The 23,120-nt window shown below is 39.6% G+C and overlaps 1 protein-coding gene across 3 annotated transcripts in view; it reads left to right on the plus strand.

The window, feature by feature from the left end:
• The window catches only part of ROR1 (receptor tyrosine kinase like orphan receptor 1), a 407,482-nt gene that overhangs the window by 69,851 nt on the left and 314,511 nt on the right, over window positions 1-23,120 (plus strand). The window contains exon 1 of one of the 3 annotated variants that reach the window (XM_011541526.2): window positions 1-23,120. This exon is cut by the window's right edge and continues 24,505 nt beyond it. The exons of the other annotated variants lie outside the window; for them this stretch is intronic. The gene's annotated coding sequence lies outside the window, so the exon portion shown is untranslated. 3 annotated transcript variants of the gene reach the window in all.

Consider the following 23,120-nt stretch of genomic DNA (forward strand, 5'->3'; position numbering starts at 1 on the left):
TCATATTAGTCCTCCACACCTTGCTGAAGTAGCCTCCTGAGACATAAATCTGACTCTTCCCTGCTTAAAGCCATTTACTGCCTGCCTATTATCTATAGGAAAGGCCCAAGCTCCTTAGCATGACACCAAAGGGATTTTCAGACCAGCCCTTGCTAATCCCTCTAGCCTTAGGGGGGCAGCATATCAGAGTGATTATCTCCCTTACTCTCCCAGTGACTTAACCTTTGTAGCCTGTTTCCTCATTGCTAACATTAGGATGATAAAACCTACCTCATGGGTTGGTGAGGAATTAATCAGCTCACACATGGTTAGCCCTCAGTAAACGTTGGCTGTTATGGTTGTGTCTTTCCACTCTCTGCCTCGCACTTTAAGATCTGGCTACATGGTTTTCTGCTGACTCTGTGTCCCTTTTCACCATGGTTAGTGCCTTTATTCCTGCCACCCACTCTTCTTGCAATGTCCTCCAAACCCTGTTGCCTGGCTTCACGCTGGTTAGGCACATCCTCTTCCTTCTCTTGGATGCTCCATGCATGTGTCGGCCATTGAGCTGTAAATATCTACTAATAAGTCAGTTACTGCTGCTAGACTATCAACTTTATGGGGATGGGGGGTGTTTTATTTATCTTTGTGTTGCTAGCACATAGCATGTGTTGAAAAAAATGGTGAATGAATACATGAAAGAATAAAAGGAATTCACAGTCTACTAGGGTGTTTGGGGTCTAGGGATGAAGGGTGGAAGGCAGCTAAGTAGCTTAATAATAACAGGTTAGAGAATCTGGGTAAAGCTGGGGCTGAGGTGAGAATTAGGCCCTATAGGAGTCCAGTGTAGGGAGTTTGCTTGTTGAGTGTGGTGCATGTAGTGAGGAAGCCTGTTTAAAGTTATCTCCTCAATGAAATAAAGCAGCCCCTTCTAGGCAATCCTAATTACTCCCTTTCCTGAAAGAATATATTGCAAATGGAAGGTCATGCAATCTGCCTTCTTGTAAGATCTTCAATTTCTCAGAATACAATGAATTCTCTATTACCTGGAGGAGGGGTAGAAAGGAGCTTCTTTTTAATTAAATTGTCTCTGCAGCAGAAAGTGACTTTATCCTGCCTTTTGAAGTCTTCCAGTTGTCCTCAGCCTGGCTCAAATCACTCTCCTTGAATTCATTGTTACACTAGTGCACCCTGCTTTGTGAGTTATAATTTAACGTGAGCGTATCTAATTCTCTAATGAGATGGAGACTCTTTGGGAGTTTATGTTTTTTTCCCTGAAATGTTTAATGTCATGCTTTTGAATTAAGAAGGGCTTCTACATATATTTATAGACTGGCTGAGTTTCTCCATATATGTGTTAAGAACTTTCAAATAATTAGAGCACAGCCTGAATTTCAGAATGCCAGTGATCTTCTCCAGGGCTTCAGCTTCCCTGAAAGAACAGCTACTCAGGGCCTATTATTAAATGTTTAAGGTATCATTTTTTAACTTTGAAATAAAAACTGAAATATTTGGAAAATACTGATAAACGAACAAACAAAAAAACCTGAACTAACCCTACTAGTAGTAGTGGTAACTACTATACAATAGTATTTGGAGTATATCTCTGTAGTCTGTCTTCCTTGGCTTTGTGTCTTTGCTTCTCTTTCTCTTTCAATGAATGAGGTCATCTTTTATCACTCATCTGGCAATCTGCTTTCTTCTCCTTAACATCAATAGATATTTATTAAAAGTGATGATGCTGGAGTATTTCTTTTAGGTTCCTGTTTCAATCCTTGACCCACTGTTTTGCCTTGTTTGCCACTGCCTGCCTTTTCTTGATTTCTGTTTGTCTCTCTGGATTGACCCATTATTGTGTTCTGATCTCTGATACCTGCATGCATCTTCATAGTAACTTCCAACTTTTGGGAGTGTCTGCTGTGCCCCAGATAGTTGTATGTGTTTTACCTGCTTTAAAAATCTCTTTTCGGATAGACTGGATATTTGTAGTCTCCATGTCACAGATGAGGAATTTATTTGGTGTAGAGATTTAGTAATTTATAAAAGATCATGAAGCTTAGATGGAGCCTGAACTTATGTTTTTATACTCAGCACCCCCTCTAGTATGTGAAACTGTCATCTTTAGCTTCTGACTCCTTCTGGAATACTGATTTTTGGGTGCTGTGTCTAATCAGCTTTCAGCTCTACAATATTCCTTGAAGGGCACCGCAACCCACAACCTTGGGCCAGCATAGTGAATTTTATATTTTTTATTTGACAGAGAGAGAGAGAATGTGTGTGTGTGTGTGTGTGTGTGTGTGTGTGTGTGTGTGTGTGTGTGTGTGTTTGAGAAATCAGCAGCTGTGGTTCTTGCTTTCACTCCTCATGGTGAGGAGGTGGCCTACCCCTCACATCTGTTTTCAGCCCCTGTTCCTCAATACCAGAGTTATTTTCTATTAACTCAATGCACCTTTTCTTTGTAATTCTTGTCAATTTTCCCTCCAGCCACCTGCGCGGTCTCTGGCTTGCTCTCAGGCTGTGAGTAAATTCTTTGTATACTTGCTGTTTTCGATAACCTCAGCCCAAGACTTAATGTCAAGGTGGGGGCCCTATTAAAGATGCCATGAATCATCTTGTCTTTGTTTGAAGATTTCCGTGTTGGCAAGTGGGCAGATAGATGTAGGTTTCCCAACCAGATGTACTGGTAGCTGAGATGGGGGCATTCAGCTGAAGTACATTCCTATCATTATTTGGCAAAGAAAGAGCCACTGAGATTAAAAGCATGATCCTTGCTTGTGATCTGGCTTCATCAACGGAATCACAGAGCCTCTGTGTTGGAAAGGGCCTTGAAATCATCTGCAACTGCGCGGCTTGATACTTGAGGGAACTGAGGCAATAGATACAGGAAGTGATGTAAAGTTATAAATGCCAAACCTTCAAGGGACTTTTGACATGACGTAACTCTGCGCTCTTATGTTTTGGGGGAAGAATAGTAAGGCCTCTAGAAGCTCACTAACACTCCTAATGCGGCACAGCGCGTTACTGCAGAGCAAGGACTCTACTGACCACAGGCCCAGGACAGCGGCCTTGGAGGTGAAGTCACTAAGGGGGATCTGTAGGATTTGGCTGGTTACAAGAGCTCACCCGCTATCTCCTCCAGGCTGGCTTCCGTGGGCCTCTGTTGAACTATCAGTCCAGTGTTCTTGCCTCTGTCCCCACAGCCCTGCAGAGGTCTTCTTCCACCTGACAGATGGTGACTGCCTTCTCCACAGTGGTAGGAGTGAGGGAAACAGTGAGGGGAAATCAGGAAACAGGAAGCCAGGGAGAGGAGCAAGAGGTGTTGGGGCTGTATGTGCTGGCTCCGTGCCTTGGTGTTGTGGGTTTCTAGAGGGTTTTAACTTTGTAGTAAAGACGGGACTTGGAGGAATTCTCCCTGTGGTGGGACAGGAGTTTTCTCCACAGCCTTCACAAAGTATTCCCCGCAAGAACTACTCATCCTTCACGGTCTACTTCTATCGTAGCAGTTCAGTCTTCTGCTGTTTCTTCTGGTACCAGCCTATGGATTGGGTAAGGAGAAAGATCAGGTTTGTAAAGAGATCTTTCTGGTCCTTCCAGTAATAAAGCCCCTTGGACAAGGGCCAGGGAGATTCATCTCCCAGAGACTCCTGTGCTCTAGGTGGTGGTAGAGGCTTCCTGCCAGAAGGATCTGAGGCAGAGGACGTGGATGGTGCCATGCTGGCGTCTCTGTGCATCTGGCAGCGCAACAAAGGACTTCTGTCTGCCCTGCGAGGCTGGGTCGGTAAAACCCACTTCAATTGAAAGCCACCACACTTTAGCAACTTGATAATTAAAATTCTAATATGTGAATTAAAGAAAACAAGGGGCTGTGTTCCTGCCATATTAAAATACAGCTGCAGTGATTCCACTATTGTTTCCTTTGACAGAGCTGTGGTTTTCCTACACACCTTTGTTTGAGGCTTTGATTCAGATATACTCCCTGCTGCTGATAAGTCCCATGTGTCTACTCATCGGTTAGATGGTGCATGGGGATGATTCTTCTGTGATGTGGAGAATGAAAGATCGTGTCTTCAAGTTATGTGAGGTGGCTAAGTGACATCTCATCAAGAGCAGAGATAAAAACAAAACTCATGGAAAAGGTACTTCCTGAGCTCCCTTTTTGTTTCCTAAGTGATTTAAAACAATAAAGGCCAAATCGAAGAGAAAACTTAAGAACCGATATAGCTGATACCTGGACTTACGGATTGATTTATTTCTGTGAACACTCTGGGAAAATGGCCACTTGTCGCTCTCTGTTATTAATAAAGAGGTCACTTTATCATTAGGCCTTTGAATCTGTATTTAATGGCTAAAGCAGATGGTTATAATTTCTGACTTGGTGTGGCCACCTTATTAATAAAAAAGAACTGATGGAAGCAAAAAGGCGTCTTCATTTTTAACTCCAGAAGCATAACACAAATGCTTTCCAGTCTTTCTTTGTGTGGAGAGCAGACCAAGTGACTGCAATAAGATCCTGTTACACATTTGAAAAAAAGACTTTTGCAGAGTGGAGGTAACTCAGTTTGAATCCTTCTTTTGTTAAACTTTAAAAGAACACTATAAATATATGCCCCTTTCCTTGAAGAAGGTATTTCGAAGGAAGCTTCAGGATTATATTTTAAAGTAAATTAATATTTTAATAACATAAGGAAACTAAAAAACACCTAATTTATTTCAGATAGTGGAGGCCTGTGGTACTTTCTAAAATTATTCTTTTTGCTTAAACTACTATAAACTGCTTTTTTGGATTTAATTACTAGGCTTAGATGAATGTGCCATGCATCTTATTTTGGTTCTTTTTAAATTCACTTGGAATTAAAAAAAATCAATAATGGCAAAAACGTCTGGTAGTGGATTTCTGCTTGATTTCATCAAGCCTGTATATTCCCCTATAATGGTAAGGAGTTTGAAATCGTGGTTATCATCCTGGAAATTTTTTGTCCCCAAAGGGACAAACCTACATTTGTGAAGACAGAATGATTTAGAATCTTAATGTACTCAGTAAACCGAGTGAACAGAGCAGAAAAATGCTGGGAATTCTTCACATAGGCTCAGAAGAGCTCTTTAATTCACTTAGATACCAAAGACTTATTGATATGTCAGGCTGTGGGCGGCATCCTGGGGTCTGTTATGGCAATGAATTCCTGGTCCTTAGGTGACAAGAATGGGATGAGTGTGCTATGCCTGGCTCTGAGATAAAGAAAAAACATGGAATGTTAAGGATCTTAAAGTCTTTACGGGTTTCTTTGCCCACTAGTTTTCAATGTTTTTTAATTAATGATGCCTTTCAGGCTGTCCATGGGCCCACGTTTAGAAGTGTTTTGAATTTCAAATTATTAATGGTAATTGTTGTTTTCTGTTTTCATTAACCAAAGGCATGTATAACAACCCATTCAGTTCATTTGTTTATTGATTTGTTCATTAATTCTTCAGTATTTAGCTTGTATTTACTTTTGGCTTGGCACCATGCCAAGCACAGGGATGCAGAGGAGTTTGTGATGGCCACCAGTCTTATTTAAAATGCCTAAAATAGGGTCAGGAGCAGTGGCTAACACCTGTAATCCCAGCATTTTTGGAGGCTGAGGCTGAAGGATCACTTGAGCTCAGGAGTTTGAGACCAGCCTTGGCAACATAGTGACACCTCATCTCTACAAAAAATAAAAAAAGTTGGCGGGGTGTGGGGTGGGCGCCTGTGGTCCCAGCTACTCCAGAGACTGAGTTGGGAAGGTCACTTGAGCCCAGGACGTCAAGGCTGCAGTGAGCAGTGATGGTACCCCACACTACAGCCTGAGGGACAGAATGAGACCCTGTCTCAAAAAAATAAATAAAAATAACTAAAGTGCTCCACAACAGTGGATGGATTTTTGTTTTTCCTACCATCTCAGATTCCTGGATATCTAGACCAATCCATTGCTAAGCCATCGTGCTTTGTTTTCTTTTTTAAACTTTGAAATGTTTTAAGTGTACAGAAAAGCAGACAAAAGTGACAAAACCCATTTCAGATACAAATATTTTTTATTTGTTTCAGATTTTTAAAAGAAATAAAACATTATAGATACAACAAAAGCTCCCAGTGTACCCCTCCTAAATCCTGTCTCTTTTCTTCTCCAGAGATAATCTGTCCTTTAAATGTGATGTCTTTTCATTCCCATGCATGTTTTTATATTTTTGCTCTCTGTGCATAAATGCACTGAGTGCTACTAAAAATAGTGCTTTGCCTATTTTAAAATTGTGTATAAATGGGAACTTACTGTACCTGTCATACATCTTGCTATTTTTGCTCAATGTTGTGTTTTTGGTATTAACCTTGTTAATTTAGGAATTGCATGTTGATCTAAGAAGTTATTTTAGTTGCTGTGCAGTAAGTATGCTATTGTATGACCATTTCACAATTAATGTACCCATTCTCCTGCCTTCATTTTTTTGTGTATTATAAACAATTTTGCCATGAAAACTTTGACTTATCTTTCTGTAAAAATGTGTGAAGTTTTTCTAGGCCAAATACCTAGGAATAGAATAGAGTATGCATGTCTTCGGCTTCCCTAGGTGCTGTGGAATTGCTCTCCAACGGCCTTATGCCAGTGCGAGCTCCTTCCTACAGGATATAAGTTCCCGTTGCTCTTTACCCTTTCTAACTCTTGATATTGGAAGTATTTTTAGATTTTGCTTATTCAACAGGTATGAGAAACTATCACAGTTTGGATGTATAAAGATATGTCAAGTTGAGTAAAGATGTTAGAGCAAAGACTGGAGATTTTTTTTTCCTTTTCCTCCTGTTCTAGCTGTATTGTTCTAGCTATATTATAGGGCAGATTTGAGTTTCTGCTTGGGTAGAATTATCCTCATCAAAGCCTACTTTGGCCCTAATTAGTTTGCTATACATCCATTGTACACAGAACACATTATGTACATTTCTAAGGAATTGAAGAGACAAAGTCCAAACTTATAGAACCTATGTTGGGGGTGCATAGCAGGAGATACTGGGGCCCAATTTACAGTAGGTTCATTGCACTGGCCAGTGAATTCAGGGACCTTGCTCTCTATATCAGCAGAGATTGCTGCCTGTGTGGTTTTTTGGTTTTTTGTTTTGTTTGCTTTTTGTTTGTTTGTTTGTTTGAGACAGAATCTTGCTCTGTCTCCAAGCTGGAGTGCAGTGGCACGATCTAGGCTCACTGCAACCTCCGTCTCCCGAGTTCAATCAATTGTCCTGCCTCAGCCTCCTGAGTAGCTGGGACTATAGGCGTGTGCCACCACGCCCAGCTATTTTTTGTATTTTTAGTAGAGACGGGGTTTCACCATGTTGGCCAGGATGGTCTCAATTTCTTGACCTGGTGATCCGCTAGCCTCGGCCTCCTAAAGTACTGGGATTACAGGCGTGAGCCACTGCGCCCGGCCGCTTTTTGGGTTTTAATGTCCATAAAATGAGAGATTGCATTAGTCATTCCTTCTTCAAGAGCAGATTTTCTTTTCTGCTTTCAAAATTCCATGCTTCTAAGTGGCGTTGACCCTTGGTGCTTTAAAACGTCTTAAAAATCACTGATACTTAATTGGTATTGAGAACAGAGGAACTTAATGCAGGAGCCACCACTAAGTGAAGAGCAGTTAAAAAATGCTAAGAAGTCACCTGCAAAATTCTAATCTAATTAAAATTATGTAAAAAAAGACCACCATCACTCATGTATAAAGATGACAGGGAAAAATTACAATGAATAGACTGTGGGTGATTATTCCCCTCATTGCCCTATTTTTCTGTTTTCCAAATCTTTTTTAATGGTCATGGAGTAATATTCTTGGAATAAAATAATAAGCATATGCAAACAATTATAAGCTCATTTGGTAGGAAAATAAGAATGTGATTTATACAAAACATGTGCTGGGCAAAGGGGAGAACACCTGTATATGAAAAATGATTTGTAATGATTTTGTAAATAATCCTATAATCCTTCCTTGGGTTAAGGGTTGGTGGATGATAAGTGTTTTTCTTTAGGTTTTGCTGCTGGAAAGATCCAGGGAAGATGGAAGACAAGTAGACTGGCATCTTACCTAAAAGCAGTGGCACAGCAGGTGGTAGAATAATTTGAGCTTCGCTCATTGGATTTTAAGACCAAAAGAAAAGGCAGAACTAAAGAGATTTTATTCATTAGGTCACGTAGATATTCCTATTCCAAAGGCATATGACAAATCCTTCAGAGTTGAAGTAATCATAATGCCTACAATATATTAAGCATTAAATATACATATATTTTTCAATTCTGGAATAGCTGTGAATGTGGGAATAACTGTACTGACTGACAGGGGAGAGATCAGATAGTTTAAGAAACTTGCCCCATATGCACAGCTCATCAGTGGTGCTGCCTGGACTCAGCCACCATCTGTTTCACTCTGCCGGGGCATACATGTATGTGTACCCTTGCCCTGGCAAACTCTTCCTTTTGTAGAGCTGAAAGCAGCCCCCTGCAACTTTCCTATGTATTTATTCTCATCCTGCCCTCCTGAGCACCCAGCCTTAGAAGTCTGCTCCCTCTTTCGCACAACAGCCTTTCTGATCTTCAAAGAGGGCTATTGTGTCCATTTCTCCACTTCTCCCCTCTTCGGTCTGTCATCTTGGAAAAGCTCAGAGAGGTGTTTTTATTCACAGATGCCTTGAGAAATTTCATGGTTTTTAGACTCATGCTGAGTTTGTCCAGATGTGCCAATATTTGTCTTATATGATACAAATTAATTGTCCAGAAGAGGAAGAAACCTTTGTAGACACTCACTAATGCAAACCAGTTCCTTTGAGTATTGATGGAAGGAAAAACACTAAAAAATGAAACAGATCATTTTCACTGGGAGAGTGTAGTTGTTGAATTCACATTCTACTTTTAGGACAAATCTGTAGCATGACAGTTCAGTCTTACCACATGTATTAACCATGGGAAACCTAGGGTGACATTTGCAATAGACTCCTGCTTTTCTGTAAGGACTTTATACAGATGGAGAAAGTATGATACTCTTACATTTTATTACCAAGTTCTGTGGCCCAGGGTTTACAGCATAAGGTGGCAAATAATTTAGCTCCACTCAGATTTGGAAGAGTAACTATTATTATTATAAGTAAGATTTAAACTTAGGGACAGGTACACACTCTTTAAGGAGAGTTCTAAGACTGAGATGTTGTATCATTATCAGTACCTGGCATAAATATATGTATCTGAGTTCTCTTTGAGAATCATAAGGGAAAAGATGTCTAATATGATTTAACCTCAAGACACTAACAATGATTACACCTATCCCCTGCTCCCAGCATCATAGTCACCAACTGTGGCAACAGCTGCTGCTAATGTTTTTTGAACTCCTGTGGTATGCCTGGTGATGTACTTTATATCAGCTAGTTCATTCTCAAAACTTGAGAACACACTACATATACCCTAGTAAGTACTATTGTTAGCCTCGTTTTATAGATGAAAAAACTGAGAGGTTAAGTATTCTGCCCAAGATCATATATAGGTTGGGTATCCCTAATCTGAGAATCCAAAACCCAAAATGCACCAAAATCTGAAACGTTTTGCATGCCAACATGATGCTCAAAGGTGCTCCTTGGAGCATTCAGATTTTGGATTTTTGGATTAGGAATGCTCAGCTGGTATAAACGCATATATTCCAGAATCTTGAAGACATCTGAAACATGTCTGATCTCAAGCATTTTGGGTAAGGGATACTCAACCTGTATCTTGTATATAGTAGAGTGAGAGTCTAGCTTATGCTTTGCTCTTATATCTTGTTTCTTTCTTCAGCAAAATAGTCTGTAAATTGAACATTAAACAGTGCACTGGGGACACAGTAAGGAATCTTTCATTACCAATGGAGCATGAATGAAAGTTTCCAAATATGAGGTTTCCTTAGTGAAACACTATTTTTAGGAAAAACTATTAAACCAAGGCTTATGATAAAGGATCATTCCACATCCAAATATACCTCTCCTGTATTAGCATAATTCTCTACTAAAATCACAGCTGAAATTCATTCACTCTAAGAGATGGATAAAAACCATACGGTTTCATGTAAAGATCACCAGCTTCCCAGAACTAGGATGATGGGAATTTTAACTAATGCTGCTGTGACTGTGGCCTAGCCTCTTACTCTTTCTGGATCTCAGTGGGCCCATCTGTAGAATGTGAGCATTGGCCTCTGTGATAATGAATGTTCCTTCTAGCTTTGTATATTGCATAGTGCATGACTGCTAGCTTCAGGAAAAATAAAACGTTTTCAATGGAAATATCAGATCACCAACCTGATTCCAATGAATTTTTTTTTATTCACTGAGGCTTTATGTCATATAAAAATATGTGACGTATTACTGCTCTGCTGCCCATCTATTTAAGGCATTCTTCAGTAGACTTGTCAGGGCTTATCTAAATCTTAGCACCACTTACGTGTGGCTGATTGCTTGGCAGGAGGAGGTTCCTGCATTTTCTTCCTCCTGTGTATTAGTGAATTGAAATCAAGGGAAAAACTGCTTGGCTTTCTGCTTCCTTCCATGGTAGGTAGACTTTTCTACATATTTTCCAACAGTTCTTTTTGACAGCCAAGTCTGGAAACAGGGCAGGATGGAGGTTTTACAAATAGGTGACAGTTGTTTGTCTCATGAATTTCTTCTATTTCCTTTCCCTAGTGGAGTTAACTGCCTCCTTCCTACAACAATCCGAACGTACTTCCATCACAGAGTATCTAGCAGTGTGAGCAATAGCCATTTCTCTCTTTTACCTCTTCTGGATTCTAAACCCATCATAGGTAGAGATAGAACATGTCTGTGCTTAGATAGTATCTGGCACATACAGATTGCTCACTTAATGGTGAATGAATGAATAAAGAAGAAAAAGTGATGAAAGAAGAAAAACTACAGTCGTCTCTTGGTATCTGTGGCACATTCGTTCCAGGACCCTGATGGATGCCAAAATCCTTGGATGCTCAAGTCTCTGATATAAAATGGCATAGTGTTTGCATCTAACCTACATACATTCTCCTGTATACTTTAAATTATCTCTAGGTTACTTATAATACCTAATATAATATAAATGCTATGTAAATAGTTGTTACACTGTATTTTAAAATTTGTATTATTTATTATTATTATTTATTTACTTATTTTTCCAAATATTTTTGATCTGTGGTTGATTGAATCCATGGGTGTGGAACCTGGGGATATGGAGGGCTGACTATATATACTAATGAACACTACTTTGGATTATATGAAAATACCCATTTATGAAATGGACAGTTCAAATGTTTCCTCTTTGACTGTTCTTAACCTGACCTCCCAACTTGAAGTAATCTGTTCCTCTCCTCTAAACAGTTATGTGTACTATGTGTTTGGTAATTAATTATGTACTGACTCATGACATTTGTTTCTGTTCTTATAATACTTTTTGATTTTCAAATACCTTATGACTTTGTTTTTTATTACAATTTGTTTTCCCATCAAGATTGTAAATTCTTGGAGGCAAGGGCAATTATTAAATACTATATTTGATACTTAATTCGCTCCTCTCCTTTGGGGGCTCCAGTTACATGTATATTAGGCCAGTTGAAGTTGTTCCTCAACTCACTGATTCTGTTTACTTTTTTAATTCCCTTTTTCCCTCTGTATCTTATTTTGGATAGTTTTGATTTTTGTGTTTTTGAGTTTACTAATATTTATCCTCTGCAATGTCTAATCTGATGTTAATCCCATCCAGAGTATTTTTCATCGCATACATTGTAGATTTCACCTCTAGAAGTTTGATGTAGCTCTTTTTTTTTTTTTGAGACGTAGTCTTGCTCTGTTGTCAGGCTGGAGTGCAGTGGTATGATCTCGGCTCACTGCAACCTCCGCCTCCCTGGTTCAAGTGATTCTCCTGCCTCAGCCTCCCAAGTAGCTGGGACTATAGGCGCATGCCACCACGCCCCACTAATTTTTTTTTTTTTCTGTATTTTTAGTAGAGACGGCGTTTCACCATGTCGGCCAGGATGGTCTTGATCTCTTGACCTCGTGACCCGCCCACCTCGGCCTCCCAAAGTGCTGGGATTACAGGTGTGAGCTACCACGCCCTGCTGATGTAGCTCTTTTTCATATCTTCAGTGTCTCCACTTACTTTTTGAACTTAGGGAATATAGTTATAATAACCATTTTAATGTTCTGTCTGCTAATTCTAACATCTGTGTCAGTTTTGATTGACTTTTTTTTTTTTCCTCCTCATCAGGGGTTATATTTCCCTGCTTTATGAATGCCTGGTAATTTTTGATTAGATGCCAGACATTGTGAATTTTCCTTGTTGGGTACTGGCTATTTTTGTATTCCTACAAATATTTTTGAACTTTGTTCTGGAATGTGTTTAAGTTGTTTAGAAGCAGTTTGATCCTTTTGGAAAGTCTTGCTTTGAAGATTTGGAAGACTGAAATAGTTGTACTTAGTCTATAACTAATTATTCTCCATGACAGTGAAAACACTCTTCTATGTGCTCTCCTCGTGGCGTGGGGAATCATGAGGTTTTCCAATCTGGAAATATCTTTTTGGATATTTCTTTCCCCAGTGCTGGGTAGTTGCCACACATGTATGCACTGATCAGCACTCTGCTGAATACTTGAGGGGGATTCTCTGTGGCTCTTTCTGCAGCTCTCTTTTCTCTGATACTTGGCCTTGCAAACTCTAGTTGCCTTGGTCTCCCTGGACTGTTAGCTCAATTCACTCAACTCAGGCAGTTCACTGAGCTCTGCCTGAGTTCTCCCTTTCCTCCAGACACCTTGAGCTGGAAATTCTCTCAGGCAGTAAGCTGGAGGACTCGTAGGATTCGTTTCATTTGCCTTCCTTCTTCCAGGGATCACTGCCCTTTACTGACTGTTATACCAGTCTTGACAATTATCCTGTTACTCCAACTTGGCCAGAAATGGAAGTGATACATTTTATTCTTTCTGTCTGAAATAATCCTCCATCCCCAATGTTTAAAAACTGCCATCCTTGACTCCATGTGACTGTGTTAGGAGCCCTTTCTCTGGTCTCTCATCATACCTGTGCTTACAGTAATTTAGTGCGGCACTCCTCTCCCTGCGTTGTTCTTGCATTTTTTTTTACCCTCTCTTTTCTCGTTAGATTTTGTTTCCTTGAGGACAGGGAATGTCTTTAATCTCGGGATTTCTAACACCTAACATAGACTCAGGTGTGTAACAGTTGCTCAATAAGTACTTGTTGAATGAATGAATTAATAAATAAATAGGATTCAATTTTCAAAGTATCTGTTGTTGAACAACTTTCAGAAGTTTTTTTTTTTTTTTACAGAAATGAGATTAGATATGCATCTTCATATATGCAATTGAAATCTCTCTTAAATTTCTAGATAATCAGTTGTTGTTGATGGCTTGGACATGGTTTTTACCTATTTATTTTTTGTAGCCTCTCCTTAGAAGGTGTTAATAAAAGCCACCTAGTTGATGCTTGAAACAACATGTGGAGGTAAAGGGACCAAGAATAGAATAGCCATATTCTATAAACAAACAAAATGAAGACTAACTTTTAGGTATCTGTTTTATGATGGACCCTCAGATGTGGTATATCCCAAGTCTGCCAGGAGGTTGTTCTTATCTGAAGTGCCTTTTCCATGTTGGATGTACTTAGATGCCTTTTATCCAGGTAGACTCAGATGGTCTGCAAATAGCTCTATGGATTTGGCATTGGAAAACCTCATGGTTCCCCAGGCATGGGGAGAGCACATAAAAGTGTTTTCTCTGTCATGGAGAATAAATAGCTGTGAGTCGTTGCATTCTTATCAACTGGAGACAATTGACAGTGGATATGTGCCACTAGAGTTATGGTCAAGTGCAAGTTCATACTATATTTGGATCTTTAAGAGTCGGTAGAATGAACCATATTTGGTAAGCCTCTGAAGACTGTCTTGCTCCATTTCCTCAGCAGCTCTTGGTTACCAAAGGTGACTCTGGAGCCCCACCTCCAAGTCCCCATCCTGCACAGTTGGCATGATGGAAATGGCTTGAGGTTCTTGTTCTTTCAGATTCAGTGTTTTCATCTGTGCAGTAGGATATAAGTAGGATAAGATGTAATTTGTCAGGTTGCTATGAGGAATAAATGAAGTAATAAATGTTAGTTGCCTATCACAGTTTCAGGCACATGGGAACCCTCTCCCCATTCCCCCAAACTTAATTGAAAAGATAGCCATCAGCCTCTGAAGTTGAATTGTGCTGAGTGGTTACTAACATTAAAGACATATGGAGTTATTGTATCTGTATCTTTCACTTATCAGCTTTTCCTTGAAGGTTTAATGTGTGTTCCTTTGCTTTTAGGCCCCATGTTTATTTTCCTGAAATGGTGTCTTCTTGACTTAAAGTACAATCTTTGCTTTTTTATTCTTTTTTCACTGCTCTTGCCTGGTGATCCTGTTGTTTAAAGACATCTCCATCCTTCCCTATCCTTTCCCTTTCAAATCTATGGCCCAGACTGGGGGTGGCTTTAACTAACAACAGCACTTTGCATTAGTTAAGTAGAGTGGAATTTCTCATTCTACCTCTCAGCTATTGATGAAACCTTTCCCTGATGCACAAATTAAGACTGGGTGTATTTTGCATATTTTCCTAGAATGACACAGTGATTCTGTGGCTAAACCAAGATTAGACCCTACCACTTTAAAAAATCTGACTTTTTGCTTAAAGTGTAAACTGTGTTGCTTCTAAAACTACTAGTTGAATTTAACTTTCAAGTGTACTTTGTATTTAAATCTGATGATAGTGTTGTTTTTCCTTTTGTCTTGTTTAGATGAGGGTATTTTCTTCACTTCCCTGACCCCTAGTGCCTCAGTGACCTAGGCAGCAAGTTTTTTGATGCTGTCCAGAATGCTAATTAAGATATTTATTCTCTTTGGCCCTATTGTTTATGATACTTGTAATTATGTCTATTAGATGGTAATCTCTGTTATCTCCCACTATACTAAGTGTACTACTCGGCACATAAAGAAATGTGTGAGTATGTGAATGTATACTCACATGTTTGAATAAATGTGAATAAATCAATATATTTATATAGTTACTGATTTAAATGTGTTCCGTCTTGGGATGTGAGATGGGATAATTGAATAAGAAATTAGCCTGTGTGTGTTAAGGTAGTCAAAGTTTTTATGGTACCTTTGTACAAACTGCCCCTTCTGTTGTGTGTGTGCTGACCCATGTCATGATGCTCAGCATGACTGGAGGAGTCCTGGTGTGTTTCTGTCCTCACTTGCTCCCTGGGTTGGGCGCCCCTCTGCAGGGTACAACCAACACAGTTGTATGAAGACCCTCTGACTTTCATTTTCTGGCTGGCTGGGGGTTTTGGTGTTGAGCGCTTTTAAGTAAGACAGTCACCTTATCCTACTCAATGTTTTCTTGAAGTGCAGGCCCTGTGAAGATGAAGATCCCCTCTTCTATTTTGGGGACACTTTTGTGATGCTTTTATCTGTCTCTCCAGAGTCTGATTTAATGAAAATATGTACCTCCCTCACCACATTCTGCAAAGCTTACTTGAGTTTTTAAAATTTAATAGTAAATATGTTAGTACATGTTGATTCTAGTGCCCAGCACATAGTTTCTGCTCAATACTTAGCTATAATTATTAGTTTATTTAAATTGCCTTAATCATTCATGCAATAAGCAAATGTCCCCCCTGTAGGCTGTTCTCCAGATCTGGGATACAGACATGGGTAAAGCTTGGAGCTTGTGTATAAGTAGCGGGGTCAGTCGCCTGCCAGTTCACTGGAGAGATGCCATGCTTGGAGGGTGGACTGACTGTAAGGCCCTCCCAGTTGTCAGACTCTAGGCTTCTAGTGTGCCCTCCCTCACTGTACAGCTGGTCAATGCATGGCACTAGAAAGTGCAAAGGCTTCAGTGTTGGATGAGTGTGGATTTGAATCCCAGCTGTGTTGTGGACTAGCTCTGAGCTTCAGTCTCTTCCTCTTAAAATGGGAATAATAGGGTAGTTGCAAAGTGTCATTGTTAATTAGGCCCTGGGCTAAGTTCTTTACTCCTGTGATTTTATGAAATCCTCAAACAGCCCTGTGAGGTGTGTCTTGTTAATATCTGTATTTTATAGATGAGGAGCCTGAGGCACAGAAGGGTGAAGAAACTGGCCTAAGTGGTAGAGCTTTTCACTGAACCCAGGCCTATTAGAGAGCAGAGGCCACATTCTTCACTGTTATGCAGTGTCATGCTATGTTATCTGTCCAGACATGTTACGATTCCTGGCACACAGGATCAGAGCAAATAGTAGCTATTATTCTTATTACTATTATTGTTCTAAAATTCAGGCCTTTCTTCACCACACTGACACTGAGTAATATATATTGTAGCTGTTCAATAAAACTTTATTGGATTTAATTGGTTATGAATTTTATGTGTGGGAAGGTGGTTAACTTTCCTATCTGTAAGGAGAAATGCTCAATAGAATATCTTAAAATGGGGGAAGTTATGAAAATATAAAATAACAACCAGAGAGGCAAACCAGTTTATGAGATTCTGTATTAGAAAGCTGGAAAGAAGTTTTTAATAAGAAGAATGGAGGCTGGGCGCAGTGGCTCACACCTGTAATCCCAGCACTTTGGGAGGCCGAGGTGGGCAGATCACGAGGTCAAGAGTTCGAGACCAGCCTGGCCAACACGGTAAAACCCCATCTCTACTAAAAATACACACACACACACACACACACACACACACACACACACACACATACACACACACAAAATAGCCAGGTGTGGTGGCACGAGCCTGTAATCCCAGCTACTCAAGAGGGTGAGGTAGGAGAATCGCTTGGACCTGGGAGGTGGAGGTTGCAGTGAGCAGAGATCGCACCACTGCACTCCAGCCTGGGCAACAGAGCAAGAGTCTGTCTCGGGGAAAAAAAAAAAAAAAAAAGAAGAAGAAGAATGGAAGGGTACAATCTGGTGGTAGACACCATTTGAAAATATTCTGTCTAGCAAATAGTGTTTTTGAGTAAAAGAAATAGACATGACAAATCAGTTATGTGGCCATCCCTTATAACAATGATGAACAGATAGGAGGGTGTGCAATCTTTAAAGTTTAGAAACAAATTTGTCCTTCTGACATCCTTCCCTTCTCTTGACACACGGTTGGTAATGGCCAAGATTCTGTTTTGCCTGATGGAGTTTTGAGTGAGTTAAATTAGGTTGTCTTGAAAATAGCTGGGCCAGAAAATAAAAAGGTTTTCTCTCTTTGGAAAGGGGCTTTACTCCAGGGAAGAACACAGCTGTCCAGGAGGAATCCGGGACTGTTGAGTCCAGAAACTTCGATCCTTCTCCACCCTTTCCCCAGTGTTTCACCAGCAGAAAAAGAATGTTATTAAAGTCTGTGATGAAACAAAGCTGCACGCTGAGACGTGGCTGCCAGAACTTTTATTTTTATGGTTCTCTTGAGTTTGGGGAGAAATAATTAAATGTTGCAAATGTAAAAATTGGCAGTAACATTTTCCATTTTGCCAATAGTCATTCCTTTGGTTTTCCCTTGGATTTTATTTATTTCTTTCTCCTTTTAGGCATTGCTCTGTCATAGCCTGCTTGAGTGTTGTGTCTCTAGGAAGGCCAGAACACCAGGTTTGGATGTTACATAGCCAAGAACATTGTGTAGCAGTGCCTGGTTTTGCCACAAGACAGGTCTGTAGGAAATACCACTGCCACTGCAGCCGAGCACGTTGAACTGACTGTGCTCAGGAATACTTCACCAGTAGGCTTACTGGAAGGTATGTCTTTCTGCATCTGTGATTTGCAGAGGGGCATATGATTGCCTTGCTGTTGGAAACATAGGAAATATGGTTTTTGGGGATTCTACTTTGAAATAATGGTACTCGTCAATGCAGTGGGAAACTACAATATCAGGATGTTAAGAAAGGGTTCAAAAGGTTTTAGGAAGTCTTGAAAGATAAATGCCCATTCCAATTGAGCCAGTAGGTCAGTCTTCTTAGGGTTTCTGTGATAATATAGGACTTTAGAGTGGAGACGCCTTTCCTGACAAGTCTAGGGTTGATTTTATGTATTTGCTAAGATTTATTAAAATAAAAAATGGCATATTCTATAAGGAAAAATAATATTAATGGTATTTTAATTAAGCTTAAGCAATAAATAATGGTTATCACATAATTTTTATTTATTATTCTTTACCTTATTTCAGGGTCTGTCTTACTGTGAAGTTTCAATAAAATGCTTAGAACTACATTTTCCTGGCCAGGTGCAGTGGCTCATGCCTGTAATCCCAGCACTTTGGGAGACCGAGGCAGGTGGATCACTTGAGCTCAGGAGTTCGAGACCAGCCTAGCCAACATGGTGAAACCCTGTCTCTACTAAAAATACACAAAATTAGCCAGGTATGGTGGCACATGCTTGTAATCCCAGCAACTTGGGAGGCTGAGACAGGAGAATCGCTTGAACCCAGGAGGCAGAGGTTGCAGTGAGCCAAGATCATACCACTGTATTCCACCCTGGGAGACAGAGTGAGACTGTCTCAAAAAAAAAAAAAAAAAAAAAAAGAAATACATTTTGTTTTATTGCAGGCAGGATACATTTCAAGAGGCTTACTTCACCTTCTCTGTCTGATCTCCGCCAAATATCTTGGCTTTGTATTTCCCATAACCCATCTGTTCTTCATGTAGCTGTGAAAGAAGTATATCTTTGAAAGCAGAATTTTGAGTAAAGAAACCCGAGAGTTAGGGAGAGATGACCAGGTTCCATGGCTCCTTGTTAATTTCACCTTCAAGCCACATACTGCCTCTTCTTGGGCCCTTGATCTACTGCTGAGCATATCTTTTTCTTTCTTGGTGTGAATTCTGCCTCTCAGTATAGGTGGTATTTGTTAATTTAACTCTGACATAAACATGGGAACACTGCGCCTCAGTGTCATTGTCTGTAAAATGGGGTTATAAGGTATTTTCTGACCTACTTAAGGTTACCGTGAGGATTAAGTGATAATGTACAAAGAAGACTTTTAAAAATTAATATTGGAGTATAGTATAAGCATAGTGACATACAATGAATTATAATCAATAATAAATTGAATTTCACTTTGTGACCTCATAAAATTTGATTCCTTTCAGCTCTATCAAGGACAGCATCTTGCCTAATCACTTTTTGTTTTAGAAAAGTTAGATGCTTGTCCAATGTCACAAAGCAAGTTAGGGTAGAGGTAGGGCAAAAGCCCTGATCTCCTGACTCCCACACCAGCAGGATGCTTAGTTGTGATTTCTGCCTTGCTTTACCACTTGGGTCATCTTTCAGTGAAGGAGGTAACTATCTCTTCTTTCTTGAGTTAAAATAATACCTTAGTAGAAGCAAAGAACACTATCACTTTAGTTCTTTTCAGCCTTCATTTGCTGTTGCCTTCTGTGTCTAGGCGTGCTGAGCTGGCAGGAAGGTGACAAGTATGATAGATTCTGGCCTCTAAGGGGCTGTCAAGTCTAGTGAAAGGAGGTAAATGAGTAAACAGATAGACACTTCGGAGCCTGAGTTTCTGGTGCTGGCCCTTACACACAGGGTCTATCTGGGCAAGTCATGCCTGTCTTTGGGCTCAGGTTTCCCAGCTGCACATTGAGGTCCTGGACTAGATGTACAGAATGATCGTGATCACTGAGGTTCCTTCTAATTTGTCACCATCTATGGGTCTGTGATAATGCAAAGCTGTGTGCTTGCCAGCTGAAACTGAAATGAAGGAAAGTGATTAATTCATTTCACAAACTGAAATGAAGGAAAGCTATTAATCTGATGGCGTATTTTTCTTTATTTGTGATAAGTTTCACAGACTACATTTTCCAGCATTCAACACTGCCATTGTATTGTATTGTATTGTATTGTATTGTATTGTATTGTATTGTATTGTATTGTATTGTATTGTATTGTATTGTATTGTATTGTATTGTATTGTATCATAGATGGCGATACTTGTTCAGTTAACCAAATGGTCAACTTTGCAAAAATAGCAGAAGTGGACATCTCATGATGATTTAATACAGGACACAAAAATCAATGCTAGCATTAACTACTATTCTCGGCCTTTCTGCAGTGTTTTTCTGATAGGAACCTTTGTATTAAACCACCTTCTTTTTTTCCTAAAAAGGACCATAGCATAATAGCAGCTAGCATTTATTTGGTGTTTTCCTGTGTGATAGGTAAGTGTTGTTTTAAGTGCTTCCCATATAAAAATTCATGTAATCTTTGCAGCATTTTGAAGTAGGCATTATTATCATCCCTATTTTAGAGATAAGACAACCGAGGTACAAGAAATTAAGTAAAACTTATTCAAGATTACACAGCTATTAAGAGATGGAGGCAGGATTCAAACTCAGGCGGTCAGCCTCAGGCAGCCTCATGTTTCATGGCTGGACCATTGCCTAAATGAAAGCTGCTCACTCTCAGCCTATTGAGAACCTGGAGAAACTGGCCTTGTTATGAGGCCACAGGCTAAGAAAGCAGTTGTATCAGCTTACTTGTGGCTCTAAACTTGGCCAGATCCTCAAGTCTAAGGATTCTTACTATGCACAGGTGTTCTCAGTCTGGATTCATGTCTCAGGTGACTCATGAACCCTTGGAAATTGTGTGCCAAATGCATTTATGAGTCCATGTGTGTTGTGTTGGTATGACGGGGGGTAGGCGGTTTGGTGGTTTTCTGCACAGTATCAGCAGAGCCTCTACTCTGTCACTGGCAGGATCCTAGCTGTGCAGGCGTTTGTCAGCCTAAATCTAAATCAAGATTCTGGGCTGGGAATTAGGATATAGCTCCCCATTGAACAAGTGAGTGGCTATAGGATCTTGGAAGAACCAGGCTTTCCAAATGTCCTCCCACCCCTTGGAACTCTGCTGCTGTGGAGCAGTTGTACGATGTCCTTTTCTCTCTTTGAAGCTTTCCAAATCTTTCAATCTTTTTTTTTTTTGCCTCCAAATTTTGGAACCTCAAAATTTCAAGGTTTTTTTTTTTAATTTTTTTATTTTTTTTCCTTTTGTTTTACCTTCTCCTTTCTGGCTTTGTTCAGAAATCAGGTATCAATAAGCTTTTTATTACTCATCCAATCTGTGAGTTCAGTTTCCCATTTAACTTTTATGAATGTTTTCTTTGTTAAGATGAGTCCTTTCAAACCCCTGTAAAGAATGTTTCACTATATACAAACATAAAAACGAAGTGTTAAAACTAGAAAATCCAAGTGGAAACACAAACATACATATACATTTTTCCCCAGGCAATTTAGCTTCATAGAAATTGAGTGCATCTGCAAGGGAATTTTTTTTTAAATGTTATTGGTAGTTTTGTTATTTGTATTACCTGTTTGGTCCTAGTCTTTATAGTTGATTACTCTAGGTAGGTCTTTTTAGGACTGAAAATAGGTCACACATATCACAGTGGTCCCAGTGTTAGAGAGATGATAAAATTCTATTACAAAGTAGTTTTGTCATGCTTTTGGTCTAAATGAGTAATACAACTAGCATGTCCAGTGTCATTTTTGCTGTACTCTGGAAAACTTTTACCATCTATCTCATCCTTATATACTGCAACAAACTTCTGATATTATTTCAATTGCAGTTCAGGCATTGCCCTCGACACAGGCTTAAGTTCAAGTCTCAGCTCTGTTACTTACAAACCATATGACTTTGAGCAAGTTTATTTAATTTTGTGGAGTCCTTTTTTTTCCCATACAAGGGGAAAACAATAATTACATGTTGCTCAAAGGGTTATGAGGAGTGAGGTCAGGCATGTTTATATGTTTCACTCTGGCGTTTTGCAGAGTAAGCACTTGATAAATGATGCTCGTGTTATTGATTGTCATCATCATCATTAATATGTGTAATAGGCTAGGTACAGTGCTTGGCACATAGCGGGCACTAAACAAATATTTTATTGGATTTGATTGTACATAGCGCTTGTGACTGAATCAGAGGTTGCCAGGGGTAGCTTTTTGCTCAGTAGATTAACAAGGAGGAAATTGTTGAACAGAACAACTGATGGCTCTACCTTTAAGTCAATGAATTTCATAGTGAAGTGGTCTTGAATGCAAATGATGAAATGTGGCAAGTCTGGTGGAGAAAAAAACCCAACAATCTTGAAGCTGTTTTAAAGAGTAGCAGTTGCCTAGTCACCCCAATTGCTGAAATTTTCCTTCTCTTCCTTGAATAAGGAGTAGAGAGGGGCAGAGAGGTTACTGGTCATGTTCATTAATTTTCTTTCAAGAACTGCCACATGTCACCAGTGGTGCCCCCCCAGCACCAGTGCTGTTTGGCAGTCTTCTCTTTGCCCCAGAGAAGCCAAAATGTTAAATTGATGGAGCTTACTAGATCTGACAGAGAAATTCTTCACGTCTGGCCTGGATGTCTAAGTAAATTTGGTGTACTTCTTGTGGTCTGGAGCAAATGCTGGAAGCTATTAGAATTCTGAACAAAACCCTCCATTCAAAGACTGCTCGTTTCCTGCTGGGGTAATCCAAGTATCAAACATTAAGAAATATGGGCAAGGCAAATGTGGCTGCTCATTGCAAAACCCACCAAGGTGTCTACGACATCTCCCCAAATGACTTGGAATGTTACATCCACTTGATCATCTTGAATAAGTGGTTTCTTTTGAAAACAAGAGCTCTACTTTTCCTACACCAAGTATAGATGGGAATTGGCTGAATTTCCTCTTGTCAGTCAAATTTAGGAGAAGAAAGCTTTCCTCCTTCCCTTGAAGTTCTAGGGACCTAGCCTTTTTTTTTGGTTTTATTTTGTTTCATTCTCCTTTCCTTATATATTTCCTTCTGAAATAAAAAAAAGTATCTTTCATTAGATATAGTTATGGATCTATTGTTTTAGACTAGGCCTGCTCAGTGGCTGGAAACGATTTTATTAAGAAGGCTTTATAGAGAAGCTTTGGTTTATCTCATGAAATATCTGAGTTTGTCATAGATTGTTTCCTTTCTGTACAGAAAGTTATTTTCTGTGAAATTCCAGGTGTTCTTTTACATAGACTTGAAAGGAATAGATTTGATAGTCCAGGTTTTTTTTTTCCCTAAGAAGAATATGTTCTTGTGATAGATTAATTGAGGATGAAATCAGATAACATAGATGAAATCACTGGATAGGCAT

Source organism: Homo sapiens, chromosome 1, assembly GCF_000001405.40.
Source record: "Homo sapiens chromosome 1, GRCh38.p14 Primary Assembly".
Taxonomy (NCBI): Eukaryota; Metazoa; Chordata; class Mammalia; order Primates; family Hominidae; genus Homo; species Homo sapiens.